The sequence below is a fragment of the Homo sapiens genome, chromosome 2 (genome assembly GCF_000001405.40).
Source record: "Homo sapiens chromosome 2, GRCh38.p14 Primary Assembly".
Taxonomy (NCBI): Eukaryota; Metazoa; Chordata; class Mammalia; order Primates; family Hominidae; genus Homo; species Homo sapiens.
The window spans coordinates 128,825,094-128,847,398 of record NC_000002.12 but is presented as its reverse complement, the minus strand read 5'-3'; the positions used below and the strand labels follow the sequence as shown (position 1 = coordinate 128,847,398).

Genomic DNA, 22,305 nt, shown 5'->3' with positions numbered 1-22,305 from the left:
ATCCAGAAATAGATCCACATATATGTGAGCAACTTATTTTTGACAAGGAAATTTAGTAGAGAAAAGGACAGTCTTTTCAACAAATGATGTTGGAACAACTAGGCATTCATATGCAAAAAGAAACATTTATCCATAACATTCACTATACACACAAAAAAATTTTAATGAGTTATAAACCTAAATTTAAAACCTAAAATTATAAAACATTCAAGAGAAAACATAAAATATTTTTTTCAAAATTTTAAGCTAGGCAAATGTTGCTCAGATATATCAAAAGTATATCCCATAAAATAACAAACTGATTAATATATGTCATCAAAATTGGAAATTTTTGCTCTTTAAAATGCAGTTATGAAAACAAAAAGGCAAGCCAAAGACTGGGGCAAATATTTTCAAAGCGTATGGTCCAGAATCTAGAAAGAACTCTCAATACTCACCAATAAAGAAACAAACAACTCAATGTTTTTAATGGAAAAAAATTTTAACAGACAATTCCCCAAAGAAGATATATGGCTGGTTAATAAGCACATGAAAACATGTTCACCTGAGATATCATTAGGAAAACACAAATGAAAACTATAATGCAATACCACTATACATCTATTATAATGGCTAAAATTAAAAATGATATGGAACATATTAAAAGGACTTCATGCCATTGCCAAGTGAGATTTATTCTTGGAATGCAAAGACAGTTCAACATATGAAAATCAGTCAATGTGATACAACACATGAACAGAATGAAGGGGAAGAAACACATGGTCATCTTAATTGATGCAGAAAAAGCATTTGATAATATTCAACAGCCTTGCACGATTAAAAAAAAACACTTAACAAAATAGTAATACAAGTTAACTTACACAACATAATAAAGCCATATATTAAAAATCCACAGCTTCACGCCTCTAATCCCAGCACTTTGGGAGGCCGAGACGGGCGGATCACGAGGTCAGGAGATCCAGACCATCCTGGCTAACACGGTGAAACCCCGTCTCTACTAAAAATACAAAAATTAGCCGGGCATGGTGGCGCGCGCCTGTAGTCCCAGCTACACGGGAGGCTGAGGCAGGAGAATGGCGTGAACCCGGGAGGCGGAGCTTGCAGTGAGTCGAGATCGCGCCACTGCACTCCAGCCTGGGCGACAGAGCGAAACTCCGTCTCAAAAAAAAAAAAAAAAAAAAAAAAGACCTCCACTTTTGTCACTTCTATTTAACACAATATTTCTTGATAAAACTAGAGCAATTGGAGAAGGAAAAGCAATGAAAGTCCTTCAAATTGGAAAGGAAGAAATAAGTTATCTCTGTTCTTAGATGGCATTATCTTATGTGGAGAAAAACCTATATATTCCACCAAAAATAAGCTATTAGAAATAATAAATTCAGCAAAGTTATAAGATACAAAATCAACACTAAAATTAGTTGTATTTCTATATACTAACATTGAATAATCTGAAAAGAAAATTAAGAAAACATTTCCATTTGTAATAGCATCAAAAAGAATAAAATACTGAATACTACAAAAAATCAAAGAAATTAAAGACAGAAATAAATGAAAACATGTTGTGTCAATACTAGCCAAAGTGATCTACAGATTCAACATAATCTCTGTCAAAATTCCAGTGACATTTCCTTACAGAAACAGAAAAACCCACCCTAAAATGTATATGAAATCTCAAGGGACCCCAAATAACTAAAATAACCTTGAAAAAGAAGAACAAAGTTGGGAGTCTCACACTTCTTGATTTCAAAACTGACTGCAAAACAACAGTAATCAAAATAATGTGGCATAAAGACAGACAAATAGAATAGAATAAAGATCCCAGAAATAAACCCTTGCATGTATTCAATATTTTGAATTATTTGCATATATTCAAATAATTTTCTAACAAGACCATTCAATGGGGGAAAGGACAGTCTTTTCAACAAATGGTGTTGAGAAAACTGAATATCCACATGGAAAAAAATGAAGGTGGACACTTACCTTGTACCACATATGAAATTTAACTAAAATTAGATCAAAGACCTAAATGTAAGAGCTAAAACAGGGGAAGTCTACATGACATTGGATTTGGCAATGATTTCATAGATACATCACCAAAAGCACAGGCAACAAAACCAATAAATAGATAAATTGGATCTTATCAAAATTTAAAACTTTTATGCATAAAAGGACACTATCTACAAAATGAAAAAGCAACCCACACATGGAAGAAAGTATTTGCAGATCATATATCTGATAAGGGATTAATAGTCACAATATACAAAGAACTCCTTAACTTTAATGAAAACACAAAACAAACAATTCATAAATGAGTAATGACTTTAATAAACATTTCTCCAAAGTAGATGTACAAATGGCCAATAAGCACATGAACAGATGCTCATCCTCACTGGCCATTAAAGAAATGCAAATCATAATCATAATGAGATATCACTTTGCATCCATTAGGATGCCCATGATGATTTAAAAAAAAAACAAAACTGAAAATAACAAGTGTCGGTGAGGATGCGGAGAAATGGGAACTCTTGTGTATTGCTGGTGAAAAATGTAAATGGTGCAGCCACTATGGAAAGCAGTTTGGCGGCTCCTCAAAAAGTGAAACATAGAATTACCATGTGATCCAGCAATTTCATTTCTTGGTATATAACCAAAAGAATTTAAAATAGGGCCTCAAACAGATACGTGGGCACCAGTGTTCACAGTAGCATTATCTACAATAAACAAAATATTATAATAACCCAAGTATCTATAGACAGAAGAATGGAGAAACAAAATGTGGTGTAGACATACAATAGAATATCATTAACATTTTAGAAAAGAAGGAAATCCTGACACTTATGACAGCCTGGATGAATCTTGAAGACATTAAGCTAAGTGAAATAAGCCCGTGGCAAAAAGATAAATCCTGTATGATTCTACCTATATGAAGTCCTTAGAACAGTCAAATTCTTGGAAACACAAAGTAAAAGTGTGGTTGCCACGAGCCAGGAAGAGAGAGAAATGTAGAGTTATTATTGAATACTTATAGGATTTCATTTTGGGAAAATGAAAAATTGTGGGTAACAATAATAGGATAAAAAAATTGCAAGAGGTGGAGCAACTCTCTTAACACTTTTATAAAATGCTACAACCTCTTCAGAAAAAAAGTTTGTCAGTTTCTTAGTTAACCATACACGTACTATATGATCCAGCTATTCCATCCATAGGTTCTTACCAAGAAAAGAAGAATATGTCTTTATGAACATATTGCCATGGATGTTTTATTTGTAATAACCAAAACTTAGAAACAACTGAAATGCCTATGAACAGGTGACTGGATAAAGAAACTGAGATGTACTCATATGGTGAAATATCACTTGGCAATAAACAGGAATGAATAACGATACATGCAACAACTTAGATGAATCTCAAAGTAATTATTCTGAGTTAAAGAAGCCAGATGCAAAGAGAGTGCATATCATGATATATATTCCTGTTACGTAAAAGTGTCGAAAATGCAAACTAATCAATAGTGACAGAAAAAAGATTAGTGGTTGCCTAGAGAGAGGGATGCATGGAGAGATGGACGGGATTACCAAGAATCACAGGGGAACTTGTGGAGGGGATGGGTATTGGATGTTTTCATTCTCTTGATTGCAATGAAGGTTTCACTGGTGCATGCATAGGTCAAAACAAATCAAATTGTACACCTGACATATGTTCAGTGTATTGGATGTCAGTTACATTCCCAATAGACCTGTACCTCAAAAGCACAAGCAACAAAAACAAAAATAGACGAATGGGACTTAATTAAACTGAAAAGCTTCTGCAAGCAAAAAATAATAATAATAATCAACAGAGTGAACAGACAACCAGCAGAATGGGAGAAAATATTTGCAAACTATGCATCATCCAACAGGGGACTGATATCCAGAATTTATAAGGAACTCAAACAACTCTATAGAAAATAAAATAACCCCATTAAAAAGTGGGCAAAGGACATGAATAGATGTTTTTCAAAAGAAGATATACAGGCAGCCAACAAGCACAAGTGCTCAGCATCACTAATCATCAAAGAAATGCAAATTAAAGCCACAATGAGGTATCATCTTACACCAGTCAAAATGACTATTATTAAAAAGACAAAAAATCATAGATGTTGTCAAGGATGCGGAGAAAAAGGAACACTTACATATTGTTGGTGGGAATGTAAATGAGTACAGCCTCTTTGGAAAACCGTATGAGGATTTCTCGAAGAACTAAAAATAGAACTACCATTTGATCCAGCAGTCCCATTACTGGGTATCTACCCAAAAGAAAAGAAATCATTATATCAAAAAGACACTTGTACTAATATGTTTATTGCAGCTCTATTAACACTAACAAAGATGTGCAGTCAATCTAAGTGTCCATCAATGGATGATTGGATAAAGAAAATGTGATACATAGACACCATGGAATACTATTCAGCCATAAAAAAATGAAATCATGTTTTTTGCAGCAACACAAGTGGAACTGGAGGCCATTATCTTAAGTGAAATAACTTGGAAACAGAAAAGCAAATATCACATGTCTCACTTATAAGTGAGACGCACACCTGTAATCCCAGCACTGTGGGATGCCAAGGCGGGTGGATCACCTGAGGTCAGGAGTTTGCGACCAGCCTGGCCAACATGGTGAAGCCCCGTCTCTACTAAACACACAAAAAAATTAGCCAGGCATGGTGGTGCATGCCTGTAATCCGAGATACTTGGGAGGCTGAGACAGGAGAATCACTTGCACCTCAGAGGCGGAGATTGCAGTGAGCCGAGATCACGCCATCACACTCCAGCCTGGGCAGCAAGAGAGAAACTCCATCTCAAAAACAAAAATTAAAAATTAAAAAAAAATAAGTGGGAGCTAAATAATGTGTACACATGGACTTAGAGTATGGAATAGTAAACACTGGAGGCTGGAAAGGTGAGGGAGATGAGTAATTACTGAGTGGGTACAATGTACACTGTCCAGGTGATAGTTGCACTGAAAGCCCAGACTTCACCACAACACAGTGGATCCATGTAATAAAACTGCACCTGCACCCCTTAAACGTATGCAAATAAAGAAGCAATGCTATGAGATCCAAGCTCACTTCTTTTCCTCACACTGGCTCCTGGACTGCTCCTCCACCCGCCAGGCATGGTTTTGCTCAGGCTCTTTGCCTCTATCCAGCTCACGTTTTTGCTTCATCAGATAGTTACTCAAATTGCACCTTCTCAGTGAGCCCTCCTGTGAGTTTTCTGTTCCTATTGTAAGAAATTCTTACAAATGTTGTGGCTTAAAACCACAAATTTATTCGCTCTTGTTGCTTAAAACCACGAAGTTAGAAGTTGAAAGGGTTTTAAAGGAATAAAGTCAAGGTGTTGGCTGGGCTGCTGTTTCTGGAGGCTGTTCCAGCGTCTGCAGGCTGCTGGCATTTTTTGCCTGCAGCCACCTCTCTCCAGTCTCTGCTTCCAACATCACATCACTGCCTTTGCCCCCATTAACCCTCTTTCCTCACTCATACAAAAGGACCCTGCTGATGGCTTTTAGTTCCTACCTTGATAATCCAGGATAATTCCCCCATCTCAAAATCTCCAGAGTCCTTTTGGCCGCATGAAGTGACACACCCACAGGTCCAGGGATTAAGACACAGCCATCTTTGGGGACCATTACCCAGCCTACCACACTTCCCTGTCTGCCCTTCTAGAATTTCATGACACCTGCAAACACCTCCTGTCCCTCCTACACTCCCTGTTTGCTCTTTGGCATTTTTAGATATTGAAAATGGCATGTATTTTACTTACTTATGTGTCTTCCCCAGTAAATTCTAAACTCCACGAAAACAATGATTTGTTTTGTCCACTGCTGTATGTCCTGATATCAACCCTAGACCCGTGCCTAGAAAACAGAAGGTGTTCAATAAATGATTAAAGGAGAATGAATTCTGTCTTAGTGAGCCTCACACATACCTTGCTTCCCATATTTTCTCTATCTACTCAGAATCTCAGGGGTGGGTACTGTTGCTGCGTGGAATCTGTGTGGGGACTCTAGTGGTTTACCCAGAGACCTGGGGGTTTAGAAAATGAGGCGATTGAGCTACATCCCTGGTGAGTGACCCGGCCATCCACTGCAGCAGCTGCTGGAATTAAATCCAACGCATCTCAGAAGTCCCTCCCTCTCACCAGTTCTTCACAGAAGCTCCTAGGAAACAAGGTCTTCTTTTTTTTTTTTTTTAACTTCCCTTGAACCACCCTCCTCCCAGTAGAAGTTCATGAAATACAGAGTAAATTGAATCAAGTTGAATTGACTGAATTCCCCTGCTCATTCTTCATTATAAAGGATGAGTTTTGTCTTAAATGTTTAATGTTGTCTTTTAAAATAGATTTAACATCTTATTAGAATTCTAGAGCTTTACAGGCAAAAGACTTCTCATGTTTCAAATGATGTTTCGAATTTTTCCCTAATACATTGAGATGGAAGATAATTTTTCTACCCAGTTACTAGCTTTGACCAAGGGTTCCAGAGAAGATATTTTCCTAACTTCCTCAAGGTCATGTACAAACTTAACCCAAAAAAGCTTACTGGGGAAGGGTTCTGAAGTGCAGAAAAAAGCAGATTGCCAGAATGATAAAATGGTGTCTTAAGTTTAGTATTTATTGAGAACTTTATGGGCCAAGTCTCGTGAAAACCACTGTGAACACATGATCTTCTTTTCTCATTGAGGGAGGTGAGGCTCAGGGGGTGACGAAAGGGGCCCACCAGATCTCTAGCCATGCCCCTTCTGTCAACTCAGTGATGCCAAAGGTGAGCCCTTGGGAAATGGCAGAGGACTAGGAAACAGTGGTGATGATGATAATGAAGAAGATGATGTCTGTGAAGACAGTCCCAACGTTTCTGCTTCCCATTTCCACTGAGTCATGCTACCAAACCAATCTGTCCTCCAACTTGTCAACTCCTTCAGTCATTTATTCATTCATTAACTCATTCGGTAGATAATTATTTACCTATAGAGTAACATGTATGATACAAAATGTGAATTTAGGTGTCATCCCTCAAAAACCTACCCATAAAAACAAGTATTTCAATGGCATGAACCTTGAGCTGATATTCTGTTGAGTGTTTCCATCACTTTTGCTGCATCATTTTTACTCTTTTTCCATGCACAAGTATTGATTCTTCTTCTTTTCTGTTGCTTTTGTTGTTGTTGTTGTTGTTGTTTGTTGTTTGTTTTTGATAGGGGTGGGGATCTCACTCTGTCACCAGAGGCAGGGATGCATGATCATAGCTCGCTGTAGCCTTGACCTCCTGTGTTCAAGTGATCCTCCTGCCTCAGCCTCCCGAGTAGCTGGGACTACAGGTGTGCACCACAACACCTCACTATTTTTTTAAATTTTTTGTAGAGGCAGGGACTTGGTAGGCTGCCCAGGCTGGTCTCAAACTGGATCACCTCAAATGATCCTCCTGCCTTGAAAAAAAGCCTTGAAACAAAACCCTTAACTAGCTAGACTCTTGAGGCAGGCTTTATGCCTGGCATGAAGCTTGTCCACGGACACCAGGGCATATGGAAGAGAGGGGTGCAGAATGCAGGACCCTCCCCTTCAATCAGAGATCCTGAGGTCCCCTTGCTTGTCCTCTCACTGGCAGTCTGGCTGCCAGGCTCTGCCCCTTCTTCTCTACCTGACTTTTTGGCACTTTCAACCTCTTCTTCAACCTGAAAAATCTCCTTGGCCTTGATAATTTCCGCATCTGACACCTCAAGCCTACCTTCTCCCATCTGGCTTCCTGAAGTGCTGGGATTATAGGCATGAGCCACCACGCCCAGGTCCAGATATTGCTTCTTGCTGGAATTCCAGAAGTCATGTGGAAGTGGAGTGGTGTATATAAAGCACTCATATACAAGAAGGCTGATCCTGTCCTTCCTGCCTCATCCCTATATCATTACCAGTGATGGGGACTGTCAAGCTCTGTGGCTGGCTGATCCAAACACCAGAAGCTCTGGGATCACCTGGGCTCCACCTGTCTCCATCTCCAGCCCTGATTCTTCCCTTTTCTACCCACTATGCCCATGGCCTCAAAAATGCACAAAGCTCTGCCCCTACTGCCTCCTTGGCTGCTCTTTCCAAAGACATCCAGGAGCACGATCAGGAATCGATCAGCCCTGTCCCAGAGGCCCCAGGAACAGGAATGTGATACAGATAGATGGGAGAAGGCAGTCTTGAGATGTCAGACAAGGAAATTATCAAGGCCAAGGAGATTTTTCAGGTTGAAGAAGAGGTTGAAAGTGCCAAAAAGCCAGGTAGGGAAGGAGGGGCAGAGCCTGGCAGCCAGACTGCCAGTGAGAGGACAAGCAAGGAGGCCTCAGGATCTCTGATTGAAGAGGGTCCTGCGTTCTGCACCCTTCTCTTCACTACTCCCTGGTGACTGTGGACAAACTTCATGCCAGGCACCAAATGCAACCTCAAGCAGGCTGGGGCCCCACAGGCGAGCCCTGCTCCTGGCTAGGGCAGAGACAAGCGTTCCCAGACTCAAGAGTCTAGCTAGTCAAGGGTTTTGCCTCAAGGCTTCTTCCGTTGAGAGACTGGTGTCATGAAAGAAGCAAGGCCCTGGTGTTGACAATAATGCTAATGTGCACAAGGTAGGTGCTTCTGTGGAGCCAGGTGCACTTTCTCATTTGCTAAAGTGTCCACTTAGTCATTCCTTTGCTAACCACAGGGAAGTGTGCTACCAACACGCAGGGGTTCTTATTCTAGAAAATGTTGGGAATTGATGCTTTACCATAAATATAAAAGACTAAGCAAATGTTGACAAATAAATTAAGTAAATCAAGTAGGAGACCACCCAAGTCCAGCAAGGACACACACAGCTATTCATGTATCGCAAGATACAGCCTTGAGGGGCCCTGGCTTGGCCATCAGGGCCAGAGGAACTCCCTCCCCACTAGTCTTCCTCCTCCTGTGACACCCTCCCCTCAGGCCCCTGCCTGGCTGTCTCCTCACATCCCCTCTGCCTCCTAACTGCCCCTCCGCATTCTTCCACACCCACCGACCTCCTCTAGGAACACACCTGTCCTCCAGCTCCGCAGTCCCACCTTGGGTTTCTCCCAGCTCCTATGACACACGACACACTGTCAACTGTGGACTGTTGGAGAACCCCTGAACCACGCCATGCCCATTTCCTCTCTAAGGGATGTTTGCATCAAATTTTATTTATTGTTTCTCAGACCAAAACAATACACATCTATATTATAAACTTTGGAAAGTAGGAAAAGAGATAAAGAAGAAAATAAAAGTCACTCTTAACCTGTCCCCCAGAAATGAATACTATTCGTACTCTGTAGTATTTTTCTCATGTCTGTTTCCTAGGAGGTGGGGGAGGGGGGCGGACAGTACAACCAATTCTCCACATAAACTTTAAAGCATGTTTTGGTTTTTCTCATAAGGTCTTTAGAACCTCGCATTGTGCTTTTACCTAGCAATAAATGCTAATTATTATCAGTGTAATTAAAATTCAGAGGCAAAACAGAGTGATAGAAAGAGAAAGGCTTTGGAATCAGCCATGTCTGGGTCCATACCTCAGGTTGGACTCTGTAATCTTGAATAATGTTTGGTTAACTTTGCTGATTCTAAGTATCCTCACTGGTAAAATGGAAGTAACAATTTATTCGCAGTGTTTGTTGTGAAACTTAAGAGAAAAACAAATACACTGATTTCACTATGGTAGGTGACCAATAAGTGATAATACTACTAGTAGTAAATATTAAGGATAAAGTTAGTGTGTGTTGAAAGATTGAAAAAAAAATCCTATGAAACTAGATAATGAAGACAAAATAATCCTTCTAACATTTCAACAGGTACACTGTAGACTTTAATGAAACACACACACACACACACACACACACACAAAAGCAAGAATATCCCTAATGAAGTCTCATATTTTACTTATTACCATAAAGCATCTGCTGGCTTTTAATTAGGAAGGACAAACGTGTTAGCAAATTATGCCACTTCGTTAGGAGACACATTTGTATAAATGTTTACAAAGAAAACTGCACAGGGTTAGGATTTAGTATGAGTGTTCTCTTCTAGAAATGTTAGTGAAGTTTCAGTACATTCCTGCATAAGCCCCAGCACAAGCTCTAGCCAATTCATAAACTCTCAGGCATTCATTTTTGGTCCTCTGTTCTGTATTAAAAGGCCAGGGCCAAACACAGTAGGCTACTTTTTAGAAAACACCAACCATGTCAATAATAAAACAACCAAACACGCGGTGCTGGTCAAGAGAAGGCTTCTTGGAGTAAGTGAGTCCTGCATGATGAGCTGGACTTTACTGCAAGTAATGGAGGAGAGGGGCACTGAAGCTGGTGTAGGCGTTCTGTCCCAGCACAGGAAGAAACATTGCTTCTGGCTCCCAGGAGGAGCCGAAAGCAGATGTGGGAAGAACTGAGGAGGGGACAGCCCCAGGGGCCGATGGCTCCAGAGGCCATGTTTCTCAGCCCCTGCCACCATTGGAATCCTGGGGAGCACCAGACCATATGGCAGAGCCATGACATCAGGATGCCTGGGGGTGTGACCTGGGTGTCTTTGTTTATAAACATGCCCAGGAGACTGCAACTGAAGGTCATAGTTGGCTCAATGACCCTCAGTCACCAGCATCAGGAAAAGCCTGGGTCCTGCATGCTGCTGCCCTGATAACACACGGGCTGAGCTGCATACCACCGCCTACAACAGCATTGCTTGGCCCTGTAGATATTGTCACACTACCATTGCCTGACACTGCCCATCAGCCAGCACAGAGGAATGTTCAAGGGTCTATGCTGGGCTCCTACCAGACACTTCTCTTACAAGTGTCCAACTCCTTCTACCCGTAGTGGTAGAGGTAGCCTAGCAAGCACCTAACAAGTCTGGTTAAGCTCAGTGGTGCCCCACAGTTACATTAAAATCCTATCTGGGACTTTCCCTACATGATCTCAGGCTCTGCACTCATTTGGAAAAAATCAGTGGTCAGAGCAGGGCCAGCTCATGCTCCTGATGAGCAGCTCCTATTCAACCCTTGATGCTGACAGGAGGCTGAGCTTTCTCCTCTTTCTGGCTTTGGGGATCTTTTCTCTGTGTCCTGTGGCCTTGTCCATCTGCAGGCTGCCTAGGAACTTATGAGGATCCCGTGTTTTAAGAATCGTTGGCTCAGGAAGTTGGCCACCGTAGTATAAAGAAGGAAGGTACCTGGAGCTGCCTCCCTCCAAACTGCCCTGCCTGAAGCCAGCTGCACCTGGACATCACCTGCCTCTGTAAAGGGACGTGGCCACTTCTCCATAGAGGAAAGCCCCATCCAAGGCACAGCTAAGACCAAAGCACTGCCCACCCAGCCAGCGAGGACACGGGGGCCACTTTAGGTTCAGGTAGGTTACCATTGACATAGATGGTGCAATGAAGAGTGGCCAAAGGTACCAGCTCCCCCAGTCTTTGTCCCTCACACCAAAAAGGATGACCGAGAAGCAGAAGGGGTGGGTAAACTGAGCACGGGAGGAGACGTCCCATTCCTGAGAAGCCTGTTCCAGACTGCAGCTGAGCGGCTTCGCCAGCTGCAGCTCTGCTCGAAGATTACAGGCTGAAAGCTCCACAGTTCACCAGAATCTTGGAGGTGATGCGAAACTGCCCCATGACAGCCTCCAAGGGGTAGAGGGCTCGGAGCAGCTCTTCACAGGCCTTCACCCTCTGGTTCTCCGGGAGGACCACGGGGCGTCTTGTCAAGCCTCAGATTAGCTGTGGTGTGGGCCTTTGGCTGCGTGGCCTCTGTGGTTATGTGCAAGGCCACTGGGCAGCAGGGCAGAGTCATCTTCACAAGGCCCACATGCTCACAGGCACTCAGCTGGTCCCCCAGGCCCAGATCTCATGTCCTGCTGGACAGATGTCCTGGACTTCCTGCCCTGTAAGGACAGAGCCAAGCAGCAGCAGGAGAGGGGCTCTGGAGATCTAGGCATCCACTGTGCCGCTCCTGGCTCTAGCTTGAAGAAGGGGATGGAAGAGGTGAGGACAGCAGTGAGAGCTGTCCTGCTAGTCCAGAGAGATGAAAATAGCCAAAACCGGGGTTCAGGGGACGGATGGAGAGACAGGCACAGCTCCTGGAGCTGTTGGGATGGATGAAAGTGTGCTTCTTTGTCCCAAGGGCCTGTGGAGGGACTTGGGAGATAAGGAGTTAGATGGATGAATGCCCGGGGTTCAGCTGGGGCAGCTCCATTTCCTGAGAGAGAGAACGCCGGAGGAGGGCACAGGAGAGATGACCATGGCGAGCTCTGACCTAGAACAGCTGCATGCAAGGTCAGGGGTCCCAGTAGCAGTGGGCAGGCAGGTGCACATGAGTCAGCACATCAGGGGGCATCATGACTCAGCTCGCCGATGGCCAGGGACCTGGGGATGGGATACTGCACGTTCCATCCAGATGCACCAGACACTCACAGGGCAGCCAGGTGAGGGACCCAGAGGGGAGCAGATAGACAATGAACAGTGATTAAAATAGACATCAAGGGGCCTGTAGGAGCAGACGCAAAGGGCACCTGAGCTGGGAGGAGGCACCACCTGTGAGCTGTGTTTTGAAGGAGAAATAAGATGTATTTTATAAACAGTATCTCATGGGAAAATGTATCTGAGACAGGGAGCAGCCTGCCTGCCCTGAGAGGCAGGGAACACCAGGCTGCATTAAGGAACTCACAAGCAATGGTGGCTCAGGCAGAGTGGTCCACACTGAGGGCACACACACGGCTGCTCATGGGATGGTGGGCATAAGGCTCACCAGAGCCACAGCCTCATCCCAGGCACCTCTGCTCCCCAGGCGACCCAGGCCCATCACCTGGAGAAACATTGACTGTGTTGTCTCAAAGCAGCACCTGGTATAAATAGAGGGCTGAGCTGTGGGGAGGCTGAGCCTGGAAACGGTCTCTAGGAAGAAAGTGCTTGTATAAATGACGCACATAGCCGACCTCTGTGCACCGGGGGAGCACAGGCTTTGAGATGTCAGTGCTGTGCATTACAGGAAAACTATTCCTGGTCATGGATTTGAAAAACAGAGGGAGAGGAAATTAATCTCATGTCAGCTAGGCACTAAGTGGCTTTTTTTTTTTTAATCTACTAAAGTGAACCAGGATTCCTAGGAACATTTCAGCTTAAAACACATCGAAGAAAAAATGATTCTCATCTATTTCAGTGACACCAAAAGTAGAGAATCTAGACAAAGGCTTTCTCTTCTGGTTTAAATCACAGCATGAGTTTCTTACAGTCTAGTGTTGGGACATGTGGGGTAAAGTGCTCTCTGGACACAAAGATGGCCCAGGTTGGCCACAGCTCCACAGGCTGCGGGCATCTTCTGGCCCTGGGTGGCCTCCCTTCTCCATACAGCCCCCGGACCTAGGAGGAATTTCTACAGTTCCCTGTTCTGGGGGTCTGGTTCCCAACATTTCCTTAGGCAATACTCTACCATGGGTACCCACATTCTCTGTGTTTGCATTTTTGACAATAAGTGCCCTGCAGCGCATCTGCAGGTACCTTCCCTGCTTGCCAAGCACATGTGAGGGCTTCTCACCTGCACGTGGTCAACATGTGCCTGTCAATTCACGCTGCGTTGTTAGAAATCACGTGCCTGCTGACAGATCTTGCCTTGTCCATACAACAATTAATGCCTTTTTTATTGTTTTATTATAAAATGGATGCATGTGCATTACTTTTACTTTGGGAAATACAAAGGAGTAGAGTTATATACCAATAGAATGCTGAAGCGAAGCCCACTGCCTTTCAACTCCATCATCCAAGCTTGGGCCATGCTTCCTGCATGTATGCAGCCCAGAACCTTGCCTCGGCCCCTCTCAGAGCACACTGCCCTCCTCCCACGCCTTCCTCTGCTCTTCCCAGAGCGTCTGGACCAGCGTATCCTCTATCAGCTTAATGATTCCCAGCCCCCAGTGGGCTGCTTCCTGACTCTTCTCAGCAGGAGTGATTCCCCATTAATTTCTACTAAGGCCAAGTCCACGAGGTTCTGATGGAGGTATCCCAGTGCTGCTGCTCAGGGACCACCTACCTGGGCAAGAATGTGTGTCTGTGTTGGGCAAATATCTGCTGTTCCCAGCTTCTGGGAAGCTGAGTGTCACCTGTTTCTGCTCTCGTCTTCTTCATAGCCAGCAGGATTCATGAGCCAGCCAGCAAGGACAGAGTGCAGGAGTGCAGGCTGCCAGGCTCCCTCCCTCATGCTAGAGCATGGCTCAGAAAGCCCCACCTATGCCATTTATAATAGGCAGAGCCAAAGCCAGGACAACATTTTTTTCTTTTCCTCTGTCTCTCAGTAAACCTTATCTATTGTGACTTACATTTAGAGTGAAATAGAGCGGAAAGGTAAGGCTATTATCCAGCTGATCTGCAGGAGAAAAAAACTAAGCCAACTGCTCTTGCTGACAAAGAAATGTTTAAAGCCAAAAATGTCCTTATGTTCTCTGTTGACCAAATTTAACAGGCACACAGACCACCTCTACAAGCATTTAGTGTGGTTCACTAGAAAAATCAGCCAGGCGCAGTGGCTTATGCCTGTAATCCCAGTACTTTGGGAGCCCGAGGTGGGCAAATCACCTGAGGTCAGGAGTTCGAGACCAGTCTGGCCAACATGACAAAACCCTGTCTCTACTAAAACTACAAAAAAAAAATTAGGTAGCATGGTGATGCACGCCTGTAATCCCAGCTATTTAGCAGACTGGGGCAAGTGGAGTTGGAGGCAACCAGGAGTTGGAGGTTCCAGTGAACCAAGGTCGCGCCAGTGCACTCCAGCCTGGGTGACAGACCCGGACTCTGTCTCAAAAAATAAAAGAGAGAGAGAGAGAAAGAGAGATAAAGAAAAGAAAAGGAAAAGAAAAAAGAAAAGGAGGGAGGGAGGGAAAGAAGGAAGGACAGAAGGAAGGAAGGAAGGAAGGAAGGAAGGAAGGAAGGAAGGAAGGAAGGAAGGAAGGAAGGAAGGAAGGAAGGAAGAGAAGGAGAGATCACAAGCATGATCATTGCATGGAACTGGCCCAAAATGCCCATTCCCCATGTCTGGGAGATGTCAGGAAATTTGCTTGTCACTAAGCTACAACTTTCATATTATAAATTGACAGGCTTCAGTGAGAATCCACGTAAAAATAACTTAGCACAGCATGTGCCACATCACAGGTGCTTAAAAAACACTCCGCTCTGCAGGGCAGCCAACACCTGCTCTTCGTACCTTTACAGCCAGGCTGCCAGTGTGGTCCACTTAAGCCTCTTCTCTGGGCTCCGTCAGCCCTGTGGTGTCTACACTGGAGTTCTGTGCCCTCCACATATTCAGAAGAATTGAAAACAGGGTCTCAAACAGGTAAGTGTGCACCGATGTTCATAGCAGCTTTATTCCCAGTTGCTGGGAGATGGAAGCAGCACATGTGTCCACTGACAGAGCAATGAAGAAACAAAATCCGGTGTATACAGAATGGAATCTCATTAGCCTTGAAAAGCATAGAAATTCTAACACATGCTATAATGTGGATCAGCCTTGAGGACATTATACTGAGTAAAACTAGCCAGTCACAAAAAAGAGAAATACTGATGATTCCACTTATACCAGGCACCTAGAGAAGTGAAATCCACAGAGACAGAAAGTAGAATAGGGGCTGCCGGGGCTGACAGGAGGGGTGCTGGGGAGTTGTTTAATGAGCACGGGGTTTCAGATTTGCAAGATGAAAAGAGTTCTGGAGATTGGTTGTACAACAATGTGAATGCATTATACATTTTTTTTTTTTTTTGAAACAGTCTCCCTCTGTCACCCAGGCTGGAGTGCAGTGGATCAATCTTGGCTCACTGCAACCTCCACCTCCCAGGTTCAAGCGATTCTCATGCTTCTGCCTCCCAAGTAGCTGGGATTACAGGCATGCACCACCATGCCTGAATAATTTTTGTATTTTTAGTAGAAATGGGGTTTCACCATGTTGGCCAGGCTGACCTTGAACTCCTGACCTCATGTGGTCTACCCGTCCTGGCCTCCCAAAGTGCTGGGATTACAGGCATGAGCCACCGCACCCGGTCTGCACTGTACTTAATATTACTATGCTTACACTTTTAAAATGGTTAAGATAGTCAACTGTATGTTATGTATATTTCACCACAATCTGAAAAAACAAATTACCACATATCTTAATCTTCCTTTTTAACAATACAAAGATCTAAAATTTCTGATAACTGATCAACCCTCTCTTATCTTAATGCTATTTGGGGCCTATTGTTTAGTTCGCACCTATTTGTTTGTCCCACAAGTTAGATATCATTGTTTCTGATTATTGTTTTCCATGGTGTTTGGTCTTATCATGGTGTTTGTTTAGATTTACATTTTATTCATAATTTTCTTTCACACTTTTTTTATTCTTTAAATCTATTAAATCAGTTTAATAACCTTCTCTCTCTCTCTCTCTCTCTCTATATATATATATACGTATATATATACGTCTATATATACATATACGTATATATATACGTATATATATACGTATATATATACATATATATATATATGTATATATATACGTATATATATATACTTTAAGTTCTGGAATACATATGCAGAACGGGCAGGTTTGTTACATAAGTATAGATGTGCCATGGTGGTTTGCTGCACCCGTCAACCCATCATCTACATTAGGTATTTCTCCTAATGCTATCCTTCCCCTAGCCCCCCTGCCCCCAGAAAGGCCCCACTGTGTGATGTTTCCCTTCCTGTGTCCATGTGTTCTCATTGTTCAACTCCCACTTATGAGTGAGAACATATGGTGTTTGGTTTTCTGTTCCTGTGTTAGTTTGCTGAAAATGATGGTGTCCAGCTTCATCCATGTCCCTGCAAAGGACATGAACTCATCCTGTTTTATGGCTGCATAGTATTCCATGGCATATATGTGCCACATTTTCCTTATCCAGTCTACAATTGATGTGCATTTGGGTTGATTGCAAGTCTTTGCTATTGTGAATACTGCTGCAATAAACATAAGTGTGGGTGTGTCTTTATAGTAGAATGATTTATAATCCTCTGGGTATATACCCAGTAATGGGATTGCTGAGTCAAATGGTATTTCTGGTTCTAGATCCTCGAGGAATCGCCACACTGTCTTCCACATGGTTGGACTAATTTACACTCCCACCAATAGTGTAAAAGTGTTCCTATTTCTTCATATCCTCTCCAGGATCTGTTGTTTCCTGACTTTTTAATGATCGCCATTCTTACTGGCATGGGATGGTATCTCATTGTGGTTTTGATTTGTATTTCTCTAATGACCAGAGATGATGAGCTTTTTTTCATGTTTCTTGGCCCCATAAATGTCTTCTTTGGAGAAGTGTCTGTTCATATCCTTTGTCCACTTTTTGATGGGGTTGTTTATTTATTGTAAATTTGTTTAAGTTCTTAGTAGATTCTGGATTAGCCCTTTGTCAGATGGATAGATTGAAAAAATTTTCTCCCATTCTTTAGGTTGCCTGTTCACTCTGCTGATAGTTTCTTTCCTGTGCAGAAGCTCTTTAGTTTAATTAGATCCCATTTGTCAATTTTGGCTTTTGTTGCCATTGCTTTTGGTGTTTTAGTCATGAAGTCTTTGCCCATGCCTATGTCCTGAATGGTATCGCCTAGGTTTTCTTCTAGGGTTTTTATGGTTTTAGGTCTTACATTTAAGTCTTTAATCTATCTTGAGTTAACTTTTGTATAAGGTGTAAGGAAGGGGGCCCAGTTTCAGTTTTCTGCATATGGCTAGCCAGTTTTCCCAACACCATGTATTAAATAGGAAATCCTTTCTCCATTGCTTGTTTTTGTCAGGTTTGTCAAAGATCACATGGTTGTAGATAAGCAGCATTATTTCTGAGGCCTCTGTTCTGTTCCATTGGTCTATATATCTGTTTTGGTACCAGTACAATGCTGTTTTGGTTACTGTAGCCTTGTAGTGTAGTTTGAAGTCAGTGTGATGCCTCAAGTTTTGTTCTTTTTGCTTAGGATTGTCTTGGCTACACAGGCTCTTTTTTGGTTTCATATGAAATTTAAAGTAGTTTTTTCCAATTCTGTGAAGAAAGTCAATGGTAGCTTGATGGCGATAGCATTGAATCTATAAATTACTTTGGGCACTATGGCCATTTTCACAATATTGATTCTTTCTATCTATGAGCATGGAATATTTTTCCGTTTGTTTGTGTCTTCTCTTATTTCCTTGAGCAGTGGTTTGTAGTTTCCCTTGAAGAGGTCCTTCACATCCCTTGTAAGCTGTATTCCTAGGTATTTTATTCTCTTTGTAGCAATTGTGAATGGAAGTTCACTCATGATTTGGCTCTCTGTTTGTCTATTATTGGTGTATAGGAATGCTTGATTTTTGCACATTGATTTTGTATCCTAAGACTTTGCTAAAGTTGCTTATCAGCTTGAGGAGATTTTGGGCTGAGACAATGGGGTTTTCTAAATATACAATCATGTCATCTGCAAATGGAGACAATCTGACTTCCTCTATTCCTATATGAATACCCTTTATTTCTTTCTCTTCCCTGATTTTCCTGGCCAAAACCTCGAATACTATGTTGAATAGGAGTGGTGAGAGACTGCATCCTTGTCTTGTGCCGGTTGTCAGAAGGAATGCTTCCAGCTTTTGCCTATTCAGTATGATATTGGCTGTGGGTTTGTCATAGATAGATTTTATTATTTGAGATACGTTCCATCAATACCTAGTTTATTGAGAGTTTTTAGCATGAAGGTTGTTGAATTTTATTGAAGGCCTTTTCTGTATCTGTTGAGATAATCATGTGGTTTCTTTCTTTGGTTCTGTTTATGTGATGGATTATGTTTATTGATTTGCGTATGTTGAACCAGACTTGAATCCCAGGGATGAAGTCAACTTGCTCATGGTGGATAAGCTTTTCGACGTGCTGCTGGATTCGGTTTGACAGTATTTTATTGAGAATTTTTGCGTTGATGTTCATCAGGGATATTGGCCTGAAAATTTCTTTTTGTGTTGTGTTTCTGCCAGGTTTTGGTATCAGAATGATGCTGGCCTCATAGAATGAGTTAGGAAGGAGTCCCTCTTTTTCTATTGTTTGGAATAGTTTCAGAAGGAATGGTACTAGCTCTTCTTTGTACCTCTGGTAGAATTTGGTGGTGAATCTGTCTGGTCCTGGGCTTTTTTTGGTTGGTAGGCTATTAATTACTGCCTCAATTTCAGAACTTGTTATTGGTCTATTCAGGGATTCGACTTCTTCCTGGTTTAGTCTTGGGAGGGTATATGTGTCCAGGAATTTATCCATTTCTTGTAGATTTTCTAGTTTATTTGCATAGAGGTGTTTATAGTATTCTCTGATGGTAGTTTGTATTTCTGTGGGATCGGTAGTGATATCTACTTTATACTTTTTTATTGTGTCTATTTGATTCTTCTCTCTTTTCTTCTTTATTAGTCTGGCTAGCAGTCTATCTATTTTGTTAATCTTTTCAAAAAACCAGCTCCTGGATTCATTGCTTTTTTGAAGGGTTTTTTTTTTTTTGTCTCTATCTTCTTCAGTTCTGCTCTGATCTTAGTTATTTCTTGTCTTCTCCTAGCATTTCAATTTGTTTTCTCTTGCTTCTCTAGTTCTTTTAATTGTGATGTTGGGTGTTGATTTTAGATCCTTTCTGCTTTCTCCTGTGGGCATTTAGTGCTATAAATTTCTGTCTAAACACTGCTTTAGCTGTGTCCCAGAGATTCTGATATGTTGTGTCTTTGTTCTCACTGGTTTCAACGAACTTATTTATTTCTGCCTTAATTTTGTTATTTGCCCAGTAGTCATTCAGGAGCAGGTTGTTCAGTTTCCATGTAGTTGTGCGGTTTTGAGTGAGTTTCTTAATCCTGAGTTCTCATTTGATTGCACTGTGATCTGAGAGACTGTTTGTTATGATTTCCATTCTTTTGTATTTGCTGAAGAGTGTTTTACGTCCAAATATGTGGTCAATATTAGAATAAGTGCAATGTGGTGCTGAGAAGAATGCATATTCTGCCAATTTGGGGTGGAGAGTTCTGTAGGTGTCTATTAGGTCTGCTTGCTCCAGAGCTGAGTTCAAGTCCTGAATATCCTTGTCAATTTTCTGTCTCATTGATCTGTCTAATATTGATAGTGGGGTGTTAAATTCTCCCACTATTATTGTGTGGGAGTCTAAGTCTCTTTGTAGGTCTCTAGGAACTTGCTTTATGAATCTGGGTGCTCCTGTGTTGGGTGCATATATATTTAGGGTTGTTAGCTCTTCTTGTTGCATTGATTCCTTTACCATTATGTAATGCCCTTCTTTGTCTTTTTTTATCTTTTTTGGTTTAAAGTCTGCTTTATCAGAGACTAGGATTGCAACCCCTGCTTTTTTTTTTCTTTCCATTTGCTTGGTAAATATTCCTCTATCAATTTATTTTGAGCCTATGTGTGTCTCTGTACATGAGATGGATTTCCTGAATACAGCACACGGATAGGTCTTGATTTTATCCAATTTGCCAGTCTGTGTCTTTTAATTGGAGCATTTAGCCCATTTACATTTAAGGTTAATATTGTTATGTGTGAATTCGATCCTGTCATTACGATGCTAGCTGATTATTTTGCCCGTTAGTTGATGCCATTTCTTCATAGTGTCAATGGTCTTTACAATTTGGCGTGTTTTTGCAGTGGCTGGTACCGGTTTTTCCTTTCCATGTTTAGTGCTTCCTTCAGGAGCTCTTGTAAGGCAGGCCTGGTGGTGACAAAATCTCTCAGCATTTGCTTGTCTGTAAAGGATTTTATTTCTCCTTCACTTATGAAGCTTAGTTTGGCTGGATATGAAATTCTGGGTTGAAAATTCTTTACTTAAGAATGTTGAATATTGGCCCCCACTCTCTTCTGGCTTGTAGGGTTTCTGCAGAGAGATCTGCTCTTAGTCTTATGGGCTTCCCTTTGTGGGTAACCCCACCTTTCCCTCTGGTGACCCTTAATATTTTTTTTCCACAACAAAAGAAACTACCATCAGAGTGAACAGGCAACCTACAGAATGGGAGAAAATTTTTGCAACCTACTCATCTGACAAAGGGCTAATCCCCAGAATCTACAATGAACTCAAACAAATTTATAAGAAAAAAACAAACAACCCCATCAAAAAGTGGGCAAAGGATTTGAACAGACAATTCTCAAAAGAAGACATTTATGCAGCCAAAAAACACATGAAAAAATGCTCGTCATCACTGGCCATCAGAGAAATGCAAATCAAAACCACAATGAGATACCATCTCACACCAGTTAGAATGGCGATCATTAAAAAGTCAGGAAACAACAGGTGCTGGAGAGGATGTGGAGAAATAGGAACACTTTTACACTGTTGGTGGGACTGTAAACTAGTTCAACCATTGTGGAAGTCAGTGTGGTGATTCCTCAGGGATCTAGAACTAGAAATACCATTTGACCCAGCCATCCCATTACTGGGTATATACCCAAAGGATTATAAGTCATGCTGCTATAAAGACACATGCACATGTATGTTTATTGTGGCACTATTCACAATAGCAAAGACGTGGAACCAACCCAAATGTCCAACAAGGATAGACTGGATTAAGAAAATGTGGCACATATACACCATGGAATACTATGCAGCCATAAAAAAGGATGAGTTCATGTCCTTTGTAGGGACATGGATGAAGCTGGAAACCATCATTCTCAGCAAACTATCGCAAGGGCAGAAAACCAAACACCGCGTGTTCTCACTCATAGGTGGGAATTGAGCAATGAGAACACATGGACACAGGAAGGGGAACATCACACACCAGGGACTGTTGTGGGGTGGGGGGATGCGGGAGGGATAGCATTAGGAGATATACCTAATGCTAAATGACGAGTTAATGGGTGCAGCACACCAACATGGCACATGTATACATATGTAACAAACCTGCATGTTGTGCACATGTACCCTAAAACTATAATAAAAGTATAATAATAATAAAATAAAATAAAATAAATATTTTTTTTCATTTCAACCTTATCTGATGATTATGTGTCTTGGGGTTGCTCTTCTCAAGGAGTATCTTTGTGGTATTCTCTGTATTTCCTGAACTTGAATGTGGGCCTGTCTTGCTAGGTTGGGGAAGTTATCCTGGATAATGTCCTGAAGAGTGTTTTCCAACTTGGTTCCATTCTCCCCATCACTTTCATGTACACTGATCAAATGTAGGTTGGTCTTTTCACATAGTCCCACATTTCTTGGAAGCTTTGTTCATTCCTTTACATTCTTTTTACTCTAGTCTTGTCTTCACACTTTATTTCATCAAGTTGATCTCTA

General features: G+C 41.9%; 1 annotated feature.

The window, feature by feature from the left end:
- Nucleotides 11,855-12,554: an enhancer, noted in NCBI's record as "H3K4me1 hESC enhancer chr2:129592419-129593118 (GRCh37/hg19 assembly coordinates)". NCBI's record gives its function as "activates a minimal SCP1, AML or CMV promoter by ChIP-STARR-seq in primed H9 embryonic stem cells {active_cell/tissue: H9 hESC(primed)}" and the evidence as "EXISTENCE:reporter gene assay evidence [ECO:0000049][PMID:30033119]".